General features: G+C 41.5%; 1 long non-coding RNA gene across 2 annotated transcripts; it reads left to right on the top strand.

Moving 5' to 3' along the window:
- Positions 1-7,347: 7,347 nt before the first annotated feature.
- On the top strand, positions 7,348-20,509 carry LOC100506076 (uncharacterized). Of its 2 annotated transcripts, none has more exons than NR_103732.1 (4): positions 7,348-7,375; positions 13,321-13,416; positions 13,509-13,638; positions 20,171-20,509. It is a non-coding gene; the product is annotated as an uncharacterized LOC100506076 (long non-coding RNA). The 2 variants fall into 2 exon arrangements; NR_103733.1 differs by lacking the exon at positions 7,348-7,375 and adding an exon at positions 12,566-12,804.
- Positions 20,510-20,784: the final 275 nt, after the last annotated feature.

Below are 20,784 nucleotides of genomic sequence, written 5' to 3' on the forward strand. Positions count from 1 at the left end.
TGAAGCAGCTAGTGTGTTTGGCTCTCACAGAGAGGAACACAAGGGGAGAGTCAATACTGCACCTTCAACTGAAACATCCAGGTACTCACATTGGGACTAACCAAGGAAACAACTTGACCCAGGGAGAATGAAGAAAAGAAAGGCAAAACGACAGCCCACCTGGGAGTACCACAGAGCCAGGGGGAGCTCTCTCACCCAGGGAAGCAGTGAGTGAATGTGTGACCCTGGAAACCCATGCTTTTTCCATGGATCTTTGCAATCCTTGGGTCGGGAGTTCTCATGAACCCACTTTACCAGGGCCTTCAGTCTGACAGAGCTACGTGGAATCTTGGCACAGCAGCCACTCAGGCACACATGGAGACCTGGGAGCCTTAGGTACCTGGGCTTTCCTGCAAAAGTAGCTGCAACTGTGGCAAAGTGGGAGGTGAGACCCTCATACATATCCCTAGGGAAGAGGCTGAATTCAGGGAGCTGAGCAGCAACAGCCTGCAGGCCCCACTTCCACAGCACCTCACAGGATAAGAGCCACTGGCTTGGAATTCCAGCCAGCCACCAGCAACACTGTTGAGCCTCCCTGAGACAGAGCTCCTGAGAGAAGGGGTAGGCCACCATCTTTGCTGTTTGGGCAACTTAGCTGCTCCAGCCTTCGGGATTTGGAGAGTCTCAGCGGACCAGGGACAGAGGGATCCATTAGCACAGCACAGTGCTACTCTACCAAAATATGGCCGGACTACTGCTTTAAGAAGGTCCCCAATCCCATTCCTCCTCACTGGGCAGGACCTCCCAACCAGGGCCTCTAGCTACCCACTCTGGTATTCTCAGGCTGACAGAGATTTGAATTCTCCCTGAGATGGAGTGCCCTGAGGGAGGCGTGGGCCGCCATATTTGATGTTTTGGCAACTTAGCCATTCCAGCCTTTGGGCTTTAAGGAGTCCCAGCTGACTTAGGGCGGATATGGCCCCCCAGCACAGCACAGCTGCTGTACAAAAGCATAGCCAGACTGCTTCTTTAAGTAGGTCCCGGATTCATTCCTCCTCACTGTTTGGGACTTCCCAACTGGGGCCTCCAACCACCCCCACTGGTGTTCTCCTGCTGACAGTGATTTCAATTTTTTCTGGGCTGGAGCTCCCTGATGGAGGGGCAGGCCACCATCTTTGCTGTTTTTGCAACTTAGCCACTTCAACCTTCAGTCTTTGGAGTGTCCAAGGAGACCAGGGGGTGATGTGGACCCTCAGCATACCACAGCTGCTCTATAAAAATGAGGCCAGACTGCGTTTTTAAGCACTTTCCCAATGCCATTCCTCCTCACTGGGCAAAACCTCCAAACTGGGGTCTCCAGCCACCTCCTACAGGTGTGTTTGGGCCAGCAACAAGTTCATTCATACCTCCCTAGGGCAAAGCTTCCAAAGGGAGCGGTAGGCTGCCATCTTTGCTGTTTCACAGGCTTCACTGATGATAACTCCAGGTACTGGAAAATCTGAGGCTACTAGAGACTGGAGCGGGCCCTGGGCATACTGCAGCAGCCCTATGGAAAAGTGGCCAGACTGTTACCTGGGTTCCCATTCCTATATCTTCTCACTAGGCAAGTCTTGCAGGCCTGGACCTCTACCTAACCCCCCCTACCAGAACTGTTGAGCCAGTAGCAACTCAGCCACTCCCTGGAGAGAGCCTCCAGGGGCAACTGAAAGCCTCTCTGCCACTGCTTCTGCAGTGGAACTGTCCTTGCTACCCTCAGACTGATGAAGGAGCTAACACCCTTATCTACACCTTCAACAAGCTTTAATTGACCAAAGCCCATCTCTCATGGGTTCTACACACTCCCCACTGCTCATGACAGGGAACCCCTGGATTGGCCCCCACAGCACGAATTCTCCATCCTGATTGCTGATTGCAGTAAACAGTTGCTGTATTCTCCAGGGGTGGTGGAACTCTGAGGAGACAAACAAAAGACCCTTGGCTACAACCACTACTAATGTCCCTTCCTCTTCTGCCTCAAAGTTAGGAAAGAAATATAAACACTGAGATTGCCCCAGAGCTGCAGTGGGCAGCCTAGGAGTGCCAAGCCATGACCTACAGCCAGCACTCAAGGGGGAGAGAAGCACATTTTCAGATCATTGAGAGGGAACATGGCTGCAACTGTAAGGAAACATAGGGGAGCCACATGACCAAGCAAGAGTCTACCAACTGACCAGTAAGCCCAAGTGCCACCTACTGGATCACATCCCAAAGCTTCAGCATCAAAAATACCTTACTAATATACTCCCCTCTGAAACCAGAAATGAGAAGTCAGCTTCAAATAAAGACCCTGCACAAAGCCTCAGCCTGGTGAAAACATCCGAAAATAAGTCTACGGACTGTACTCAATCTACACTGCAATTAAAGGAAAACCCATAGGTGGAAATGAGAAGAAACCAATGCAAGAACTCCAGTAACTCAAATGGCCTCTGTGTCATATGTCCTTCTAACAACCACACCAGTTCTCCAACAAGAGTTCTTAACCTGGATGAACTGTCTGGAATTACATAAATATAATTCAGAATATGGATAGGAAAAAAAATCATCAAGACTCAGGAGAATGGCAAAACCCAATCCGAGGAAAATAAGAATAACAGTAAAGTGTTACAGGAGCTGAAGGATAAAGTAGCTGGTATAATAAAAAAGAACCTAACCGATCTGAAAGCGCCGAAGAACACAATACAAGAATTCCACAATGCAATCACAAGTATTAACAGCAGAAAAAAAAATCTGAGGAACGAATCTCAGAACTTGAAGATTGGTTCTCTAAAATAAGATGGACAAAAATAAAAAAGAATGAACAAAACCTTCAAGGAGGATGGGATTATATAAAGAGGCCAATTCTACAAATCACTGGCATCTCTGAAAGGGAGGTGGAGAAATCAAACAACTTGGAAAACGTAGTTCAGGATATCATCTTTGAAAGCTTCCCTAACCTTGCTAGAAAGGCCAACAGTCAAATTCAGGAGATACAAAGAACTCCTACAAGATTCTACACAAGACCATCCTCAAGACACATAAACATCAGGTTTTCCAAGGTCGAAATGAGGGAAAATATGTTAAAGGCAGCCAGAGAGAAAGGGCAGGCCATCTACAAAGGGAACCCCATTAGGCTAACAGCAGATCTCTCAGCTGAAATCCTACAAGCCAGAAGGGATTGGGGGACTATATTTAACATTATTAAAGAAAATCTTCAACCAAGAATTTCATATACAGCTAAACTAAGCTTTCTAAATGAAGGAGAAATGAGATCATTTACAGACAAGCAAATTCTGAGGTAATTCATTACCACCACATCTGCCTTACAAGAGATTTTAGAAAGGAGGACTAAATATAGAAAGGAAAGACCACTACACGCTAATGCAAAAACATACTTAAACACACAGACCGGTGACACTATAAAGCAACCACACAAAAAAGCCAACATAATAACCAGCCAACAGCACAATGACAAGATCAAATCTACACAAATCGATACTAGCCTTGAATGTAAATGGGCAAATGCCCCACTTAAAAGGCACAGAGTGGCAAGCTAGATTTAAAAAAAAAAAAAGCGAGACCCAATGGTATGTCGTCTTCAAGAGACCCATCTCACACATAATGACACTCATCGTCTCAAACTAAAAGGATGGAGAAAAATCTACCAGACAAATAGAAAACAGAAAAAAAGCAGAGGTTGCAATCCTAATTTCAGACAAAACAGATTTCAAATGAACAATAATTTTTCAAAAGGACAAGGGGGCAGGGGCAAGATAGCCGACTAGAAGCAGCTGCAGTTTGAGGCTCCCACTGAGAAGAACTAAAAGAGTGTGCAAATCCTGCAGCAGCAACTGACATATCCAGGTTCTATGATCAGGACTGACTAGGTGGTTGCCGTGACCCATAGAGAACAAGGAAAGATGGGCTGGTGGATTGGCCCACCTGGGAGCCACATGGGGCAAGGGGAGCCCTCACCCTCAGCCAGCCAAGGGAGGCAGTGAGTGAGCATGCTACCCAGCCTGGGAAACTGCTTTTTCCATGGATCTTTGCAATCCACAGATCAGAAGATCCCACTCATGAGACCACACCACGAGGGCCTTGGGTGCCAACCACAGAGCCATGCAGATTCTCAACAGCCACTCAGCTGGAGTCTGCCTAAAACTACCGAGTTCCCAAGTTGGGGAGGGGTGGTCATCATCACTGTGGCTGCCTGCTGCCTAAACCCTCTGAGTTCCCTGGGGGAGGGGGAGCAATCATCACTGTGGTTGCTGGCTGCCTAAGACAACTGAGCTTCCCAAGAGAGGGGCAGTCATCATCACTGCAGCTGCCTGCTGCCTGAGGAAACTGAGCTCCCTAAGAAGGGACAGCAGCCATCACTGTGGCTGCTAGCTGCCTAAGACACTGAACTCCTGGGGAGGAAGGGCGGCAGCCATTTCTACAGATCCAGGCTGCTGTTTTTCCTTTGCTGATGCCAGGAAGACTGGACGGCTTGGTCCCAAGAGGTATTCCCCACAGCGCAGCATACTGGCTGTGGCAGATCATGGCCAGACTGCCTCTTTAGGCTGACCCTGACCCATCCCTCCTCACTGGGTGGGGCCTCCCTGCAGGAACTCCAGCAACTCAAGCCAGGGAATTAGGGAGAGAACTCTGATCTCTCTAGGTCTGAGTCCCTAGTGGGAGGGGTGGCTGGCTGTTGTCTCCACAAACCGGAAGACTTGTTCTTTCCCCCTGCTCACTCTGAGGATTCCAGGCAGCCCAGATGAGTGGGATTTTCCCCGGCACAGCATACCCCCTTCCCAAAGGGACAATCAAAGTGCTTCATTAAGCAAGTCCTGGATCCTGTGCCCCTCAACTGGGTGAAACACCCCAGTGGGTCACCAGACACCTTATACAGGAGCATTTCTACTGGCATCAGGTGGGTGCCCCTCAAGGACAGAGATCCCAGAGGAAGGAGTGGGGTCCCATCTTTGCTGTTCTCCAGCACCCTCTGGTGACATCTTCAGGTGTGGGAGGGACCCAGATAAATAGGGCTTGAAGTGAATCCCCAGCAAACCACAGCAGCCCTACAGAAGAGGTACCTGACTGTCGAAAGAAAAACAGAAAGCAACAACAACATCAACCAAAAAGTCCCCACGAAAACCTCATCTAAAGGTCAGCAGCCTCAAAGATCAAAATGAGACAAACTCATGAAGATGAGAAAGGAATGAAAAACCCCTAACAACTCAAAAGGCCAGAGTGACTTGTTTACTCCAAATGATCACAACACCTCTACAGCAAGGGCACAGTCCTGGGTGGAGGTTGAGATGGATGAATTGACAGAAGTAGGCTTCAGAAGGTGGGTAGTAGCAAACTTCACTGAGCTAAAGGAGTACGCTCTAACCCAACATATTGGAACGAATCCCAGAACTTAAAGATTGGTTCTCTAAAATAAGACAGACAAAAATAAAAAAGAATAAAACGGAAGGAAGAAAACCTCCAATAAGTATGGGGTTATATATAGAGGCCAATTCTACAAATCACTGGCATCCCTGAAAGGGAGGTGGAGAAATCAATGCATTGGGTTAGAACATGCTCATTTAGCTCTGTGAAATTTGTTATTACCCACCTTCTGAACCCTACTTCTGTCAGCAAAGAAGCTAAGAACCATGTTAAAAGATTACAGAAGATGCTAACTAGAATAACCAGTTTAGAGAGGAACATAAATGACCAGAGCCAGCTGTAAAGCACATAAGGGGAACTTTGTGATGCAAACACAAGTATCAACAGCTGAATTGATCAAGCAGAAAAAAGAATATCAGAGCTTGAAGACTGTCTTGCCAAAATAAGGCAGGCAGAGAAGATTAGAGAAAAAAGAATGAAAAGGAATGAACAAAACCTCAAAGAACTGTGGAACTATGTAAAAGACCAAACCTATGACTGATTGGACTACCTGAAAGAGACAAGGAGAATGGAGCCACGTTGGGAAAACACACTTCAAGATATCATCCAGAAGAACTTCCCCAACCTAGCAAGACAGGCCAACATTCAAATTCAGGAAATCCAGAGAACCCCAGTAAGATACTCCACAAGAAGATCAACCCTCAAGACACATAGTCATCAGATTCTCCAAGATCAAAATGAAGGAAAAAATGTTAAAGGCAGACAGAGACAAAGGGCAGGTCACCTACAACGGGAAGCCCATCTGACTAAGAGTGGGCCTCTCAGCAGAAACCCCACAAGCCAGGAGACAGTTGGGTCCAATGGTCAACATTCTTAGAGAAAAGAATTTCTAACCTAGAATTTCATATCTGGCCAAACTAACCTTCATAAGTGAAGGAGAAATCCTTTTCAGACAAGCAAATGCTGAGGGAATTTATCACCACCAGGCCTGCCTTGCAAGACCTCCTGAAGGAAGTGCTAAAGATGGAAAGGAAAAACTGGTACCAGCCACTGCAAAAATGTACTGAAGTACAAAGACCAATGACACTATGAAGAAACTGCATCAACTAGTGAGCAAAATAACCAGCAAGCATCATGGTGACAGGATCAAATTCACACATAACCATATTAACCTTAAGTGTCAATGGGCTAAATGTACCAATTAAAAGACACAGACCAGCAAATTGGATATAAAGAGTCAAGATTCAGGTGTGCTGTATTCAGGGTTCCTATCTCATGTGCAAAGACACACATAGGCTCAAAGCGATGGAGGAAAATTTACCAAGCAAATGGAAAGCAGAAAAAAGCAGGGGTTGCAATCTTAGTTTCTGACAAAACAGACTTTGAATCAACAAAGATAAAAAAAGACAAAGAAGAACATCACAATGATAAAGGAATCAATTCAACAAGAAGAGCTAACTATCCTAAATATGTATGCACCCAATACAGGAGAACCCAGATTCACAAAACAAGTTCTTAGAGACCTACAAAGAGACTCAGGCTACCACACAACAATAGTGGGAGACATTAACACCCCACTGTCAATATTGGATCATCTAGGCAGAAAATTGACAAGAAAGGACTTGAACACAGCTCTGGATCAAGTGAATCTCATAGATATCTACAGAACTCTCCAACACGAAACAACAGACTATATATTATTCTTAGTGGCATATGACACTCTAAAATTGATCACAAAATTAGAATTAAAACACTCCTCAGCAAATGCAAAATAACTGAAATCATAACAATCTCTCAGACCACAGTGCAATCAAATTAGAACTCAAGATTAAGAAACTCACTCAAAACCACACAACTACATGGATATTGAACAACGTGCTCCTGAGTGACTTCTGGGTAAATAATAAAATTAAGGCAGAAATCAAGAAGCTCTTTGAAACCAATGAGAACAAAGAGACAATGTACCAGAATCTCTGGGAGGCAACTAAAGCAGTGTTAAGAGGTAAATTTATAGCACTAAATGCCCACATCATAAAGCTAGACATATCTCAAATTGACACCCTAACATCACAACTAAAAGAACTAGAGAAGCAAGAGCAAACAAATCCAAAAGTTAGCAGAAGAGAAAAAAAAAAATGACTAAGATCAAAGTGGAACTGAAGGAGACAGAGACATGAAAAACCCTTCAAAAAAAAAAAGAAAGAAATAAAACATGTTCAAATAGCAAGAGATAAAATCAAATTGTCTGTGTTTGCAGAAAATGTGATTCTATATCTAGAAAACCACATCGTCACAGCCCAAAAACTCCTTAAGCTGATAAGCAAGTTCAGCAAAGTCTGAAGATACAAAATCAATGTGCAAAAATCACAAGCATTCTTATACACCAGCAATAGACAATATTCTTCAATTCCTATACACCAACAATAGGCAAGAGAGCCAAATCATGAATGAACTCCCATTCACAATTGTTACAAAGAGAATAAAATACCTAGGAATACAGCTAACGATGGATGTGAAGAACCTCTTCAAGGAGAACTACAAGCCACTGCTCAAGGAAATAAGAGAGGACACAAACAAATGGAAAAATATTCCATGCTCATGGGTGGGAAGAATCAATCTCATGAAAATGGCCATACTGCCCAAGGTAATTTATAGATTCAGTGCTATTCACATCAAACTACCATTGACATTCTTCACATAATTAAAAAAAAACTACTTTAAGTTTCATATGCAACCAAAAAAGAGACTGAATAGTCGAGACAATCCTAAGCCAAAAGAACAAAGCTGGAGGCATCATGCTATATGACTTCAAACTATACTACAAGGCCACACTAATCAAAACAGCATGGTACTGTTACCAAAACAGACACACAGACCAATGGAGCAGAATAGAGATCTCAGAAATAAGACCACACATCTACAACCATCTGATCTTTGACAAACCTGACAAAAACAAGCAATGGGGGAAGGAATACCTATTTATTTATTTATTTATTTATTTTGAGACAAAGTCTCACTCTGTCACCAGGCTGGAGTGCAGCGGCATGATCTCAGCTCACTGCAACCTCTGCCTCCCGGATTCAAGTGATTCTCCTGCCTCAGCCTCCTGAGTAGCTGGGACTACAGGTTCGAGCCACCACGCCCAGCTAGTTTTTGTATTTTTAGAAGAGACGGGGTTTCACCATGTTGGCCAGGATGGTCTTGATCTCTTGACCTCAAGATCCACCTGCATCAGCCTCCCAAAGTGCTGAGATTATAGACATGAGCCACTGCACTTGGCCAGGATTCCCTATTTAAATGGTGCTGGGAAAACTGACTAGCCATATGCAGAAAACTGAAACTGGACCTCATCCTTACATCTTATGCAAAAATTAACTCAAGATGGATTAAAAACTTAAATGTGAAACCCCGAACTGTAAAAAACCCTAGAAGAAAATCTAGGAAGTTCCATTCAGGACATAGGCATGAGCAAAGATTTTATGATGAAATCATCAATAGCAATTGCAACAAAAGCAAAAATTGATAAATGGGATCTAATTAAACGTAAGCACTTCTGCACAGGGAAAGAAACTATCATCAGAGTGAACAAGCAACCTACAGAATGGGAGAATATTTTTGCAATCTACCAATCTGACAAAGGTCTAATATCCAGAATCTACAAGGAACTTAAACAAATTTACAAGAAAATAACAACCCCATCAAAACATGGGCAAAGGCCACGAACAGACATTCTGAAAAGAAGACATTTATGCGTCCGACAAACATATGAAAAAAAAAGCTCAACACTAGTGTTTATTAGAGAAATGCAAATCAAAACCACAATGAGATACCATCTCATGCCAGTCAGAATGGCAATTATTAAAAAGTCAAGAAACAACAGATGCTAGAGAGGCTGTGGAGAAACAGGAACACTTTTACACTGTTGGTGGGAATGTAAACTAGTTCAACCATTGTGGAAGACAGTGTGGCAATTCCTGGAGGATCTAGAAGCAGAAATACCATTTGACCCAGCAATCCCATTACTAGGTTTATATCCAAAGAAATATAAATCATTCTGTTTTAAAGATACATGCACACTTATGTTTATTGCAGCACTATTCACAATAGCAAAGACATGGAATCAGCCCAAATGTCCATCAATGATAGACTGGATAAAGAAAATGTGATACATATACACCATGGAATACTATGCAGCCATAAAAAGGAATGAGATCATGTCTTTTGCAGGGACATGGATGAAGCTGGAAGCCATAAACTTCAGCTAATTAACACAGGAACAGGAAACCAAACACCACATGTTCTCATAAGTGGGAACCGAACAATGAGAACACATGGACACAGGGAGGGGCAGAACACACACCGGAGCCTGTTGGGAAGGTAGGGGGAAGGAGAGCATCACGATAAATAGCTAATGCACGTGGGGCTTAATACCTAGGTGATAGGTTGATAGGTGCAGCAAACCACCATGGCACATGTTTAACTATGTAACAAACCTGCACATCCTGTACATGTATCCTGGAACTTAAAATAAAATAGAAAAGACAAAGAAGGATATTACATAATGGCAAAGGCTTCAATTCAACGAGAAGACCTAACTATCCTAAATATATATTCATCCAATGCAGGAGCACCCAGATTCATAAGTAAAGTTCTTAGAGACCTACAAAGTATGTTTCACAGTAATAGTGGGAGATTTCCACACTCCAATGACAGTATTAGACAGATGATTGAGGCAAAAAAATGAACAAAGATATTCAGGACCTGAACTCAACATTGGATCAAATGGATCTGATAGACCTTTACAGAACTCTGCACTCAAAAACAACAGAATATGCATTCCTCACATCATCATATGCCACATACTCTAAAATCAACCACATAATTGGACATAAAGCAATCCTCAGCAAATGCAAAACAACTGAAATCATACCAAATACATACTGAGATCACAGTGCAGTAAAAATAGAAGACTAAGAAAATTGCTGAAAATCATGCAATTACATGGAAATCAATCAACATGCTCCTGAATGACTTTTTAATAAATAATGAAATTAAGGCAGAAATCAAGAAGCTCTTTGAAAATAATGAGAACAAAGTTACAACATACTAGAGCCTCTGGACACAGCTAAGACAATGTTAGGAGGGAAATTTATAGCACTAAATCCCACATCAAAAAGTTAGGAAGAACTCAAATTAATAACCTAACATCACAACTGAAAGAACTAGAGAAGCAAGACAAAACCCCAAAGCTAGAGGAAGACAAGAAATAACTGAAAATCTGAGCTGAACTGAAAGAAACCGAGACATGAAAAAAAGAAATTCAAAAGATCTATGAATTCCGGGTAGGTTTCTTGAAAATATTAATAAGAAAGTCTGCTAGCAGACTAATACAGAGGATGATTGAAAGAAACACAATTAGAAATGACAAAGGGAATGTTACCACTGACCCCACAGAAATAGAAACAGCCATCAGAAACTACTGCAAACACTTCTATGCATACAAACTAGAAAACTTCAAAGAGATGGATAAATTCATGGAGAAATACACCCTCCCACAACTGAGCCAGGAAGAAATTGATTTGCTGTAAACAGACCAATAACAAGCTCCGAAATTGAATCAGTAATAAATAACCTACCAACCAAAAAAAGCCCAGAACATGATGGATTCCCAGTCATATTCTACTAGAAATACAAAGAAGAGCTGGTACCATTTTTACAGGAACTATTTGAAAATATTGAGGAGGAGGAACTCCTCCCCAACTCATTCTATGAGGCCAACATCATCTTGATACCAAAATCTGGCAGACACACACACACACACACACACACACACACACACACACACACACACACACACTCTTCAGGCCAATACCCTCGATGAACATCAATGCAAAAATCCTCAACAAAATACTGGCAAACCAAATCCAGCAGCACATCAAAAAGTTAATCCATCATGATCAAGTATGCTTCATCCCCAGGATGCAAGGTTGCCTCAACATACACATATCAATTAATCTGATTCATCACATAAACAAAACTAAAGATAAAAACCATGTGGTTATCTCAATATAAGCAGAAAAGGCTTTCAATAAAATTCAATGCCTCTCCATATTAAAAACTCTAAAAAATCTGGGTATTGAAGAAACATAGCTCAAAATGATGAGCTGTTTTTGTATCAGTATCATGCTGTTTTGGTTACTGTAGCCCTGTAGTATGGTTTGAAGTTGGGTAACATGATGCCTCCAGCTTCGTTCTTTTTGCTGAGGATTGCTTGGCTATTAGGGCTCTTTTTTTTGGTTCCATATGAATTTTGAAATAGTTTGCTCTAGTTCTGTGAGGAATGCCGTTGGTAATTTAATAGGGATAACTTGCATCTGTAAATTACTTTGGGCAGTATAGCCATTTTAATGACATTAATTCTTCCTATCCATGAGCATGACATGTTTTTCCATTTGTTTGTGTCTTCTCTGATTTCTTTGAGCAGTGTTTTGTAATTCTTCTAGAGATCTCCTAGAGATCTTTCACCTCCCTGGTTAGCTGTATTCCTAGGTATCTTATTTTTTCTGTGTGTAGCAATTATGAATGGGATTGTGTTCTTCATTTGACTCTCTGCTTGACTTGATGTATAGGACTGCTAGTAATTTTTGCACATTGATTTTGTATGCTAAGACTTTGCTAAAGTTTATCAGCAGAAGAAGCTTTGGGGCCAAGACTATGGGGCTTTCTAGATATAGAAACATGTCATCTGTAAACAGAGACAGTTTGACTTCCTGTCTATTCCTCTCTTCCCTCCTCTGTTTGGATGCCCTTCCAGTTTTGCACATTCAGTGTAATGTTGGCTGTGGGTTTGTCATGGCTAGCTCTCATCATTTTGGCACTTCTGACTAGAAGGGCAAGAGGGGCCAGTGTTGTTGTTACCTGAAAGGTAAGTGCAGCCCACAAAAATGCAGTGAAGAAGAAGATGTATTATGCATATGTTTAAGTTAATACAATTGAGATATATTTAGCAGACAGAATCAATAGAGTTGATGAGTGACTGACTGGATGTGTGGGGAGTTTATATCACTCCCAGGTTTTTGACTTGGGCAACCGGGCACTCATGAAGGAAAAAGGGGATCCAGGGAGAGGAACTTTTCTGAGGACTGGGGTAGGGCTGAACAGCTGCATTCGAGGCTGGTGGAGGGTGGGCTGGGCATGGGATGCACAAATGGAAATTCCACTGGGTCTGCAGCTCACACATAGGCATGACCAGCATAGAGATAGAGAGGCCCCAGTGCTGCTGAGTAACTGTGATTCCCCAGGTGATGGCATCAGCTGAGAAGGGAAGGAAGCCCATGAGAGGACACTGAAGAAGGAGTGAGCAGACAATAAGAAGCCCACAGAAGACAGAGAAGGAACAACTAGAGGGAGAAGCCAAGGCAGGCGTGTGTGGTAACACATAGGAACTGAGGGAGAGGACATTTCAAGATGGTGGGGATGCCATACAACAGGACTATGTGATGGTTTTTGGCTGTGTCCATAGGAAGTCACAACAGGCAAGGGAAAGAAACCAGAACCCAGTCATGGAGTTAAGAAGTGAGTCAGAGAGTAGATGGGTAGGGACAGTGAGGTAAGGCCTCTTTCTAAGGAAGTTTGGCTGAAGGATAGACTAGCTGGACACATGCTGGCTGTGTGGGGTAGAGGGAGGAATGATGGAGGGTAGGAGAGCCTTGAGCCTGCGAGAAGAGTCTCTTAGAATAGAGAAGCTGAAGTTAAAGTTGTGGAAGAGAGTGGGGATAACTGAGTGACAGATAATCAGGAGAAGAAAAGGAGATCCAGACTCATGACAGAGAGATGACCTTTGCCAAGAGCACAGCCGTCTTTCACGGTCACAGAGAGGTAGGACAAAATGAGTGGTGTTCAAGAATTGGTTTGTAGCACAATATTTCAACTATGTCCTTTAAAAAGTTTCTCCACAGACACTACCCAAAGCAGTGCTTCACTACAGTGGCAGACAGACCTGAAAATTTTCATCTGAAGCAGCAGAGTGAACTGCAGAGGCAGGTAATTTCTAGAAGGCTTGCTTTGTTACATTGAAACTGAAGATTATTCATGAGGCCAGTCTTCTGAGATTTCTGTCATTTCTCTCATGTCAGGTCACCAACCAGTGTGGAGGCTAAAAGCGGGCCTCTTTGGGGATTCCAGGTGGAAGTGTTGGACATCTGTAGTATTCCTGGTCTCGAATCATCCTGATATTCTTCATTTTGTTATTCACATTGGACTAGGGTGAGGAAATGAGTTCTGGTCAGAGTCAATGTTTCCTAACAATGTTGATTTATTTGGTCCTAAATATTTAAACACATTTTATAAATAGCTTTTCCACACCACATATATAGGGAAAAACAGGGAGTTAACTTGGCCCAGCAGCACTGTTTGTGGGGCTAACACCCTGTCTGTGTATCTCACACCAACCCTAAGCTTTGTTTCTCTCCTGTCACTTTGCTCCTATTTCTTTCATGTGAAAGAATGTTCATTTTCTTTGAAAATGAGCTCATTTCCTCATTTTCTTTCCATATTTCAGCAGGAACAAAGATCACCACAACTGGCTCCCCTTCAACTATGTTAGATGGCAACTTGCCTTCAGTATGGTGAAACACATCAGTTAAGACCGGGGTTGTGCATGGCAGGACTTTCTACAAGGACACCCAGTCTCCTTAATAAACATGAGATGCTCTCTTTCCAGAATTTCTCTTGCCTGACACAGCATAGGAAGATGCTGAACGGCCACACAGTGATCCATTGGTCAGTGGTGACATAAGGAGGTCAGAGGGGAGGAGTGAGGAGAAGTAGGGAAGACTAGGTGGTTGTAGGCCTCCTTCATCTGTTCATTGGCTGTGGCATTAGGCCAGCTACTCTTTGCACTTCTGTAAAGTGAGACGGTCGATCTTGTCTGCCTCTCTAGAGGATGGTTGCAGGTGTCAAATGGGGTAGTTAGGTGGGAGGGCATTTCACAAAGTTAAAAAATATGACTTTGGAGGCTTGTTATATTGATGAGGATTATAATCCCTGAGAATTCCTGGTATGAAGAAGGGAAAAGAAGATAATTTGTGAAAGAAATGTGTCCAGTTACTAGTCTTTGAAAAGGGTCAGTCTGTAGCTCTTCTTAATGAGAATAGGCAGCTTTCAGTTGCTCAGGGTCAGATTTCCTTAGTGGTGTATCTAATCACAGGAAACATCGTGGTTCCCTCCAGTCTCTTTCTGGGGGACTTGGGCCCACTTCTCATTTCATTTAATTAGAGGAAATAGAACTCAAAGTACAATTTACTGTTGTTTAACAATGCCACAAAGACATGGTTGGGAGCTATTTCTTGATTTGTGTAAAATGCTGTTTTTGTGTGCTCATAATGGTTCCAAAAATTGGGTGCTGGCCAAAGAGAGATACTGTTACAGAAGCCAGCAAGAAGACCTCTGTTCATTCACACCCCCGGGGATATCAGGAATTGACTCCAGTGTGTGCAAATCCAGTTTGCCTATCTTCTCAAGTTAGGGTTAATTGGATAATTCTGGAGAAGTACACATTGAAAACTAGAACTAAGCCAAGCAATTAAATACGTTTCCTGCCTATTACATGCCTTGGTACTGTGCAAAAGAGCTCACAGGGCATCTGAGGAAAGATTACTAACACACACCTCAAATGACTGTGTCTGATTTCCTAGAAGGACTCAGAAAGGGAGTGATCACTGTGGATTGGACTGGATAGTGCCTCATGCTGGAGGTGGGCTTTGAGTGGAGCCGTGAAGGTCAAGAAAAAGTGATATAAACACTGGCTCCTTCCTTTTGAAGGGACACCACACTCTTTGGGCTTAGTGGTTATAGATGCCTTTAGCGCAGCCCAGGAGCAAGCATTTGTTGTCTACCTACCACGTGCTTGGCTTTGGAAATGCAAATAAAAAAGGAGGTCACTATTTTATGAAAGGATGATTTTATTCTACCTGATGTAGCCAGCTGCAAGCTTCAGAAGGCAGCACATACAATAATGATGGGCTGGTGAGATGAGAGCTAATGGAGAGATGTACAAAGTGCCATGGGATCACCAAGCAGTGGTCAGGTGAAGGCATCTGATTTTCTTTAAGATCTTGCTCAAATGTCATCTCCTCTAGAAGAAAATGTAGGGCTTCATCAGTCAGACAACATGGGGAAATTGATCTCAGTTCAAGAAACATGTATTGATTATCTAATAGGTTCAAGCAGTTGTGCACTGGGGATAGAAAAATATTATCATCATCATCATCATCATCAACAACAACAACAATCTTGCTGTATGCCAGGCACATAATTTTACATGTATTATCTCATTTAATCTCAAACAACTCTATGCTATAGGTGTTTATTATTATCCCTATTTAGATGAAACATTTAACCTTCAGAGAATTTAAATAAGTTGCACTTGCAAGCTTAGCAGGTGAGGAATCAAATTTGGAATAGGACCTAGATCAGTGATCCCCTAGATCTACAATCTTAACCAGTACCCTGTTCTCTCTGCTTAGAGAGCACCTAGAGAAAATCTGTAAGCAAATAATCACAAAACAAGGGATGACACAATATATGTAAATGTAGGATTTTACATTAAGTGGAAGAAGGAAGAAGGTCATTATTTACTTTTTCTGGGTGAGAGATGAAAACACTTCTGCAAGAGTATTTCCAATTTCACCAAAGTATGGAAAGATGTTTATCCTAATAACAATACTCAGTAATGGTATTTGATTTAATTTCAGCCTAGTACATGATTTGATTCTAAAACAACATTTCCTTAGAATTTCAATATCTGGAATTCTATAGCTCAATGGTTTTGGTGACTATTAATATTTTATATACTTCTTTTGATAGTTTTGGGGCTAAGTGAATCAAATCTATTCATAACTCTAAGTTTTCAAATTCTGAAATCTTTTAGAGTTGTTTAGTTAAAACTGGTTCTTTTCTTCCAGTTTGTTAGCTTACCAAATGAGCCAAAATAAAGAAAAAACAAAAATTTATTTTCAGTCTGATATAGAGAGTTATTTATAGTTACATGGTGCTATCTCTTCCTTTAAAAACATTTCTTCTTTCTTTTTTTCTCCCTCTCTCTTTTTGAGGGGATTATAAACACTGCCAGTATTTTTTGCCTAAAGGGTAAATCCTCTTAAACTCTTTTGGGATCTATATTAGGTGCCAGATGGTCATAAGAAAATTATGTGAGATACTGGTGAATAAACAAGCAAACCAGAAGCTAGGTTTTCAGAATAGATGCTAGCCAGTAGTTCACAGGCATTATCCAGCAACTGGTGGGGATCTACTTGGCCAGCCCGTGACCACTGAGATGTGAACTTCCCTGGACCTTGGCAGTCAAGAGGGAGAGAGGCAGAGAAAGCTCCATTATCATCACTAATTCCCTTTTGACCACACGTGACAGCATGACCTGCTTCAAAGAAATAAGATAAATGGTGGTTAGGTGCCCCCACAGGCCCACAGTAGCCCATTCAACAAAGAGCAAAAGTAAAACTACTCCTGATGGATTTAGCAACATCATAGTTCACTTGTGAGGCAACAGGCTTTTATTGCTTGCTTTGGGACTGGCTTCTTCTCATTTTCTGTAGGAAAGTGAGCCTACCTGACTTAGAAACAAAATTTTGGAACACAAACCCTTTGTAAGTTGGGAGATCCCTAAACTAAAATTTCCAGTGAGATGAAAAGCCCCTTGAGAAAGAAATTTCTGGCTGGGCATGGTGGCTGATACCTCTAATTCCAGCACGTTGGAAGGTTGAGGCAGGAAGATCACCTGAGGCCAGGAGTTTGAGACCAGCCTAAGCAACATAGGGAAACCCCTGTGATATAGTTTGGATCTGTGTCCCCACCCAAATCTCATGTTGAACTGTAATCCCCAGTGTGGTAGGTGGGGTCTGGAGGGAGGTGACTGGATTAGGAGGGTGGATTTCTCATGAATGGTTTAGTACTATCTCCTTGGTACTCCTCATGATAGCAGGTGAGCTCTCAAAAGATCTGGTTGTTTAAAAGTGTGTGGTATCTCCCCCCTCACTCTCTTGTTCCTGCTTTCACTGTGTGACATGCCTGCTCCCGCTTCACAATCTGCCAGTAAATTGTGGCAGGTTATGAGTGTGTGTAATTTATGAGTGCTGATAGGATGAAAGATAGAAAATGATTTTAGATAGAAAGAAAATCATTCTGGAAGCTTTGAGTCTTCCTTTTGTAATCTATGTTGGTTCTTTTTTAACATCCCCTGTTTCAGCACTTACTGACCTGGAGTCTGTCTCACAATGACTAAATGTAATATAAGATTCTAGGATGTACACTAGAACAGAAAATGGAAACTAAATAAAAACTGAGGAATTCTGAACAAGTATGGTCTTTAGATAATAATAATATGACAATATTGATGCCTTAATTGTAATGAATGCACCACACTAATATAAAATTTTAGTAATAGAGAAAGCAGAGTTTGGGTACTTACCAGGAATATTATACTATTTTCACGATGTTTCTGTAAACCTTAAAGTGTTCAAAAATTAAAATTTTATTTAAGTCAATTGCAATATATAAGATTAATTGAACCCAAATTGTGGAAAATATAACTTCTGTTATAATGTTCCTTGGAAGCTTCTAAAGACAAGGCCTTTCTTTTCTATTTTTAGTAGAAATTACACGTATTTTCAAGTCAAACTGTTAATATGTGACAATATTTGCAGTACTGAAAGCTTAATAACTTATAGATTCATGGTAACGAAAAGCAAAGCATAGTGTTGTTTTTGGTTTTGGAATACTGTATGAAATATGTAGTCTTTTTTTTTTTTTAAGATGGATTCTCACTCATTTGCCCAGGCTGGAGTGCAGTGGGATGGTCTTAGCTCACTGCAACTTCTGCCTTCTGAGTTCAAGCAATTCTTCTGCCTCAGCCTCCCCAGTAGCTGGGACTACAGGCATGTGCCACCATACCTGGCTAATTTTTTTTTTTTTTTTTTTTTTTTTTTTGTATTTTGAGTAGAGATGGGGTTTCACCATTTTGGCCAGGCTGGTCTCGAATTCCTGACCTCAGGTGATCTGCCCACCTTGGCCTCCAAAATTGCTGGGATTACAGGCATGAGCCACCGTGCCTGGCCAAAACATGTAATCTCTTATTCAAGATTTATAATAACAGTTATGTGATACTCAGTAAGGGATGGTGATCTACATAAAATAAAAGTACAGGCACAGTGGCTTATGCCTGTAATCTCAGCATTTTGGGAGGCCAAGACACGAGGACTACTTGAGTTCAAAACCAGCTTTGTCAGCATAGTGAGACCTCATCTCTACAAAAAAATCAAAAACATTAGCTGGGGGTGGTGTCACACACTGGTAGTCCCAGATATTTGGGAGGATGAGGTAGGAGGATCCTACCTGAGCCTGGAAGACAAAGGCCACTGCACTTCAGCCTGGGTGACAAAGTAGGATCCTATCTCAAAATAGATAGATAGATAAATAGATAGATCAATGTTATTTATCTCAATATTTGAAAGAAAAGTTGAAAAACCTCCGAGCTCAACTAAGAATCAGTTTCTAGAATAAACAGAAGTATAAATCATTATACCTCTTTACTTTAAAAATATTACAGACATTATAAGTATTTTAATAACAAAAAATCAAATACTTTATATATGCTTTGTAATCTGTCCTTTACAAAATCATTTAACCTTTATGACAGGAGCTACTATGGTGCTCATTCCACAGATGAGGTGCTGAGGTTTAGTGAACTGAATAGCTTGTTCACAGACAGCTGGAGACAGAGACTCAGTTTGCCCATACAAAGATAATTTTAACCAATAGCATTTTACAATAGAATATCATAATGCCTATGAATTCTAAAAACATTTTATTCAAATCTCTCTTTTAATATTAGCACCTCTTCAACCTCTTCTTGACTCTACCACCAAAATTATCTTCCTAATCTCTCTTACCCTGTAAATTTCTGTGTGTGTGTGAGTGTGTGTGTGTGTGTGTGTGAGAGAGAGATAGAGACAGGGAAAGAGTGGATTTACCAAAAAATAAGATAGGAAGGTTGTCATAACATCTTCCCTTTTATTTCTCAATTCTGAAGTCCCCATTTTCATCCCTGGGAGAGTTGTTCTAGGATAGGGTAGCTAAAGGAACAGAGAAAATCAGAGTAATGGAATTAGCTAAAAGGGAAAGTGGCGACCTGAAGACCAAACACTAAAGAAGGGGCCAGTGAATGGCAAAGAAAGTGGAGAGCAAAACATGCAGGTAGATAGGGTCCTAGTTAATGAAGGCTCAGAGGCTGGAGGGTAAACCCATGCAAGGGTAAAGTTTAATACAGTGAAAATATAAGTAAGATGGGAGACCTACCACAGAGAACCAACACTTGGCATGTTTCTGATGACAGTGTTTAGATTGCAGTGGTTCTAAAAATTAAGTGATTTTGGAATTGGCATTCCATGTGACTTTAAAAGATAAATGATAAAGTAAATGTTTTATTCAGCTCTCTCTCTCCCTCCCCACCCACCTTCTTCCCTCCATTCTTCTGTTTTTAATGGGGATGTTTAAAATCCAATCTCACATTAATTTTTTCTTAAGTGTAAATAATGGGAAAACTTCACTTCGAGAGGGGACTCCTCAGTAGACCTCCATAATTTCCTGGCTTTTACTGCCAGTTAGTCATCAGGAATAGCCACGGCTAAGAGAGTACCAACTGGGCAAGCCAGTGAATTATACCAGTGCATCTCAGATTTACTGATTTGTTTAACTTTTGTTTTTTGTTCTTTTTTTTTTTCAGAGATAGAATCTCACTATGTTGACCAGGCTGGTCTTGAACTCTTGGCACCCAAGCGATCCTTTTGCCTGGAATCCCAAAGTGTCAGATTTACTGAAGAATATTTCATTGTAATTACTTTTTATACTTTATAGGTCAAGAGCTCTGTTTTAAATACAAAATTTATTGAATATACTTTTTCAAACAAAGTTTCATGTTCTAATCATTGTCTGATTTCAGCATTAAATGAAACACAGTAAAGAAAGTTGGGCTGATGTTGTTGTTGGTGGTTGTTTTTGTATTCTGATTACAGAACTGTATTTTGAGTGGGCTGAACATAGAGTAAATGCATCCTCAGCTGCTGGTCTAGACACTTTTTTTCCATGAGTGAAACTGCACATTGGGGATGGTGGGTCGGGGCTGTGAGTCCAGAGAGTTAAGCAGTAACCCCAAAGATTTTAACTGGGATCCAGAACAGTTTTATCATCGCTCTTCTTTATGTCTATATTTATCTTTAGTAATTGTACCATATGCTGCATTTTCCACTGGTTACATAGGTAAGCCTAGTCCTCCCCACAACATTCTTATACCAATGATGGTGACAATATGCTGTATTTCTTTTGTATCAACTCCTTACT

Source organism: Homo sapiens, chromosome 2 (genome assembly GCF_000001405.40).
Source record: "Homo sapiens chromosome 2, GRCh38.p14 Primary Assembly".
NCBI lineage: Eukaryota > Metazoa > Chordata > Mammalia > Primates > Hominidae > Homo > Homo sapiens.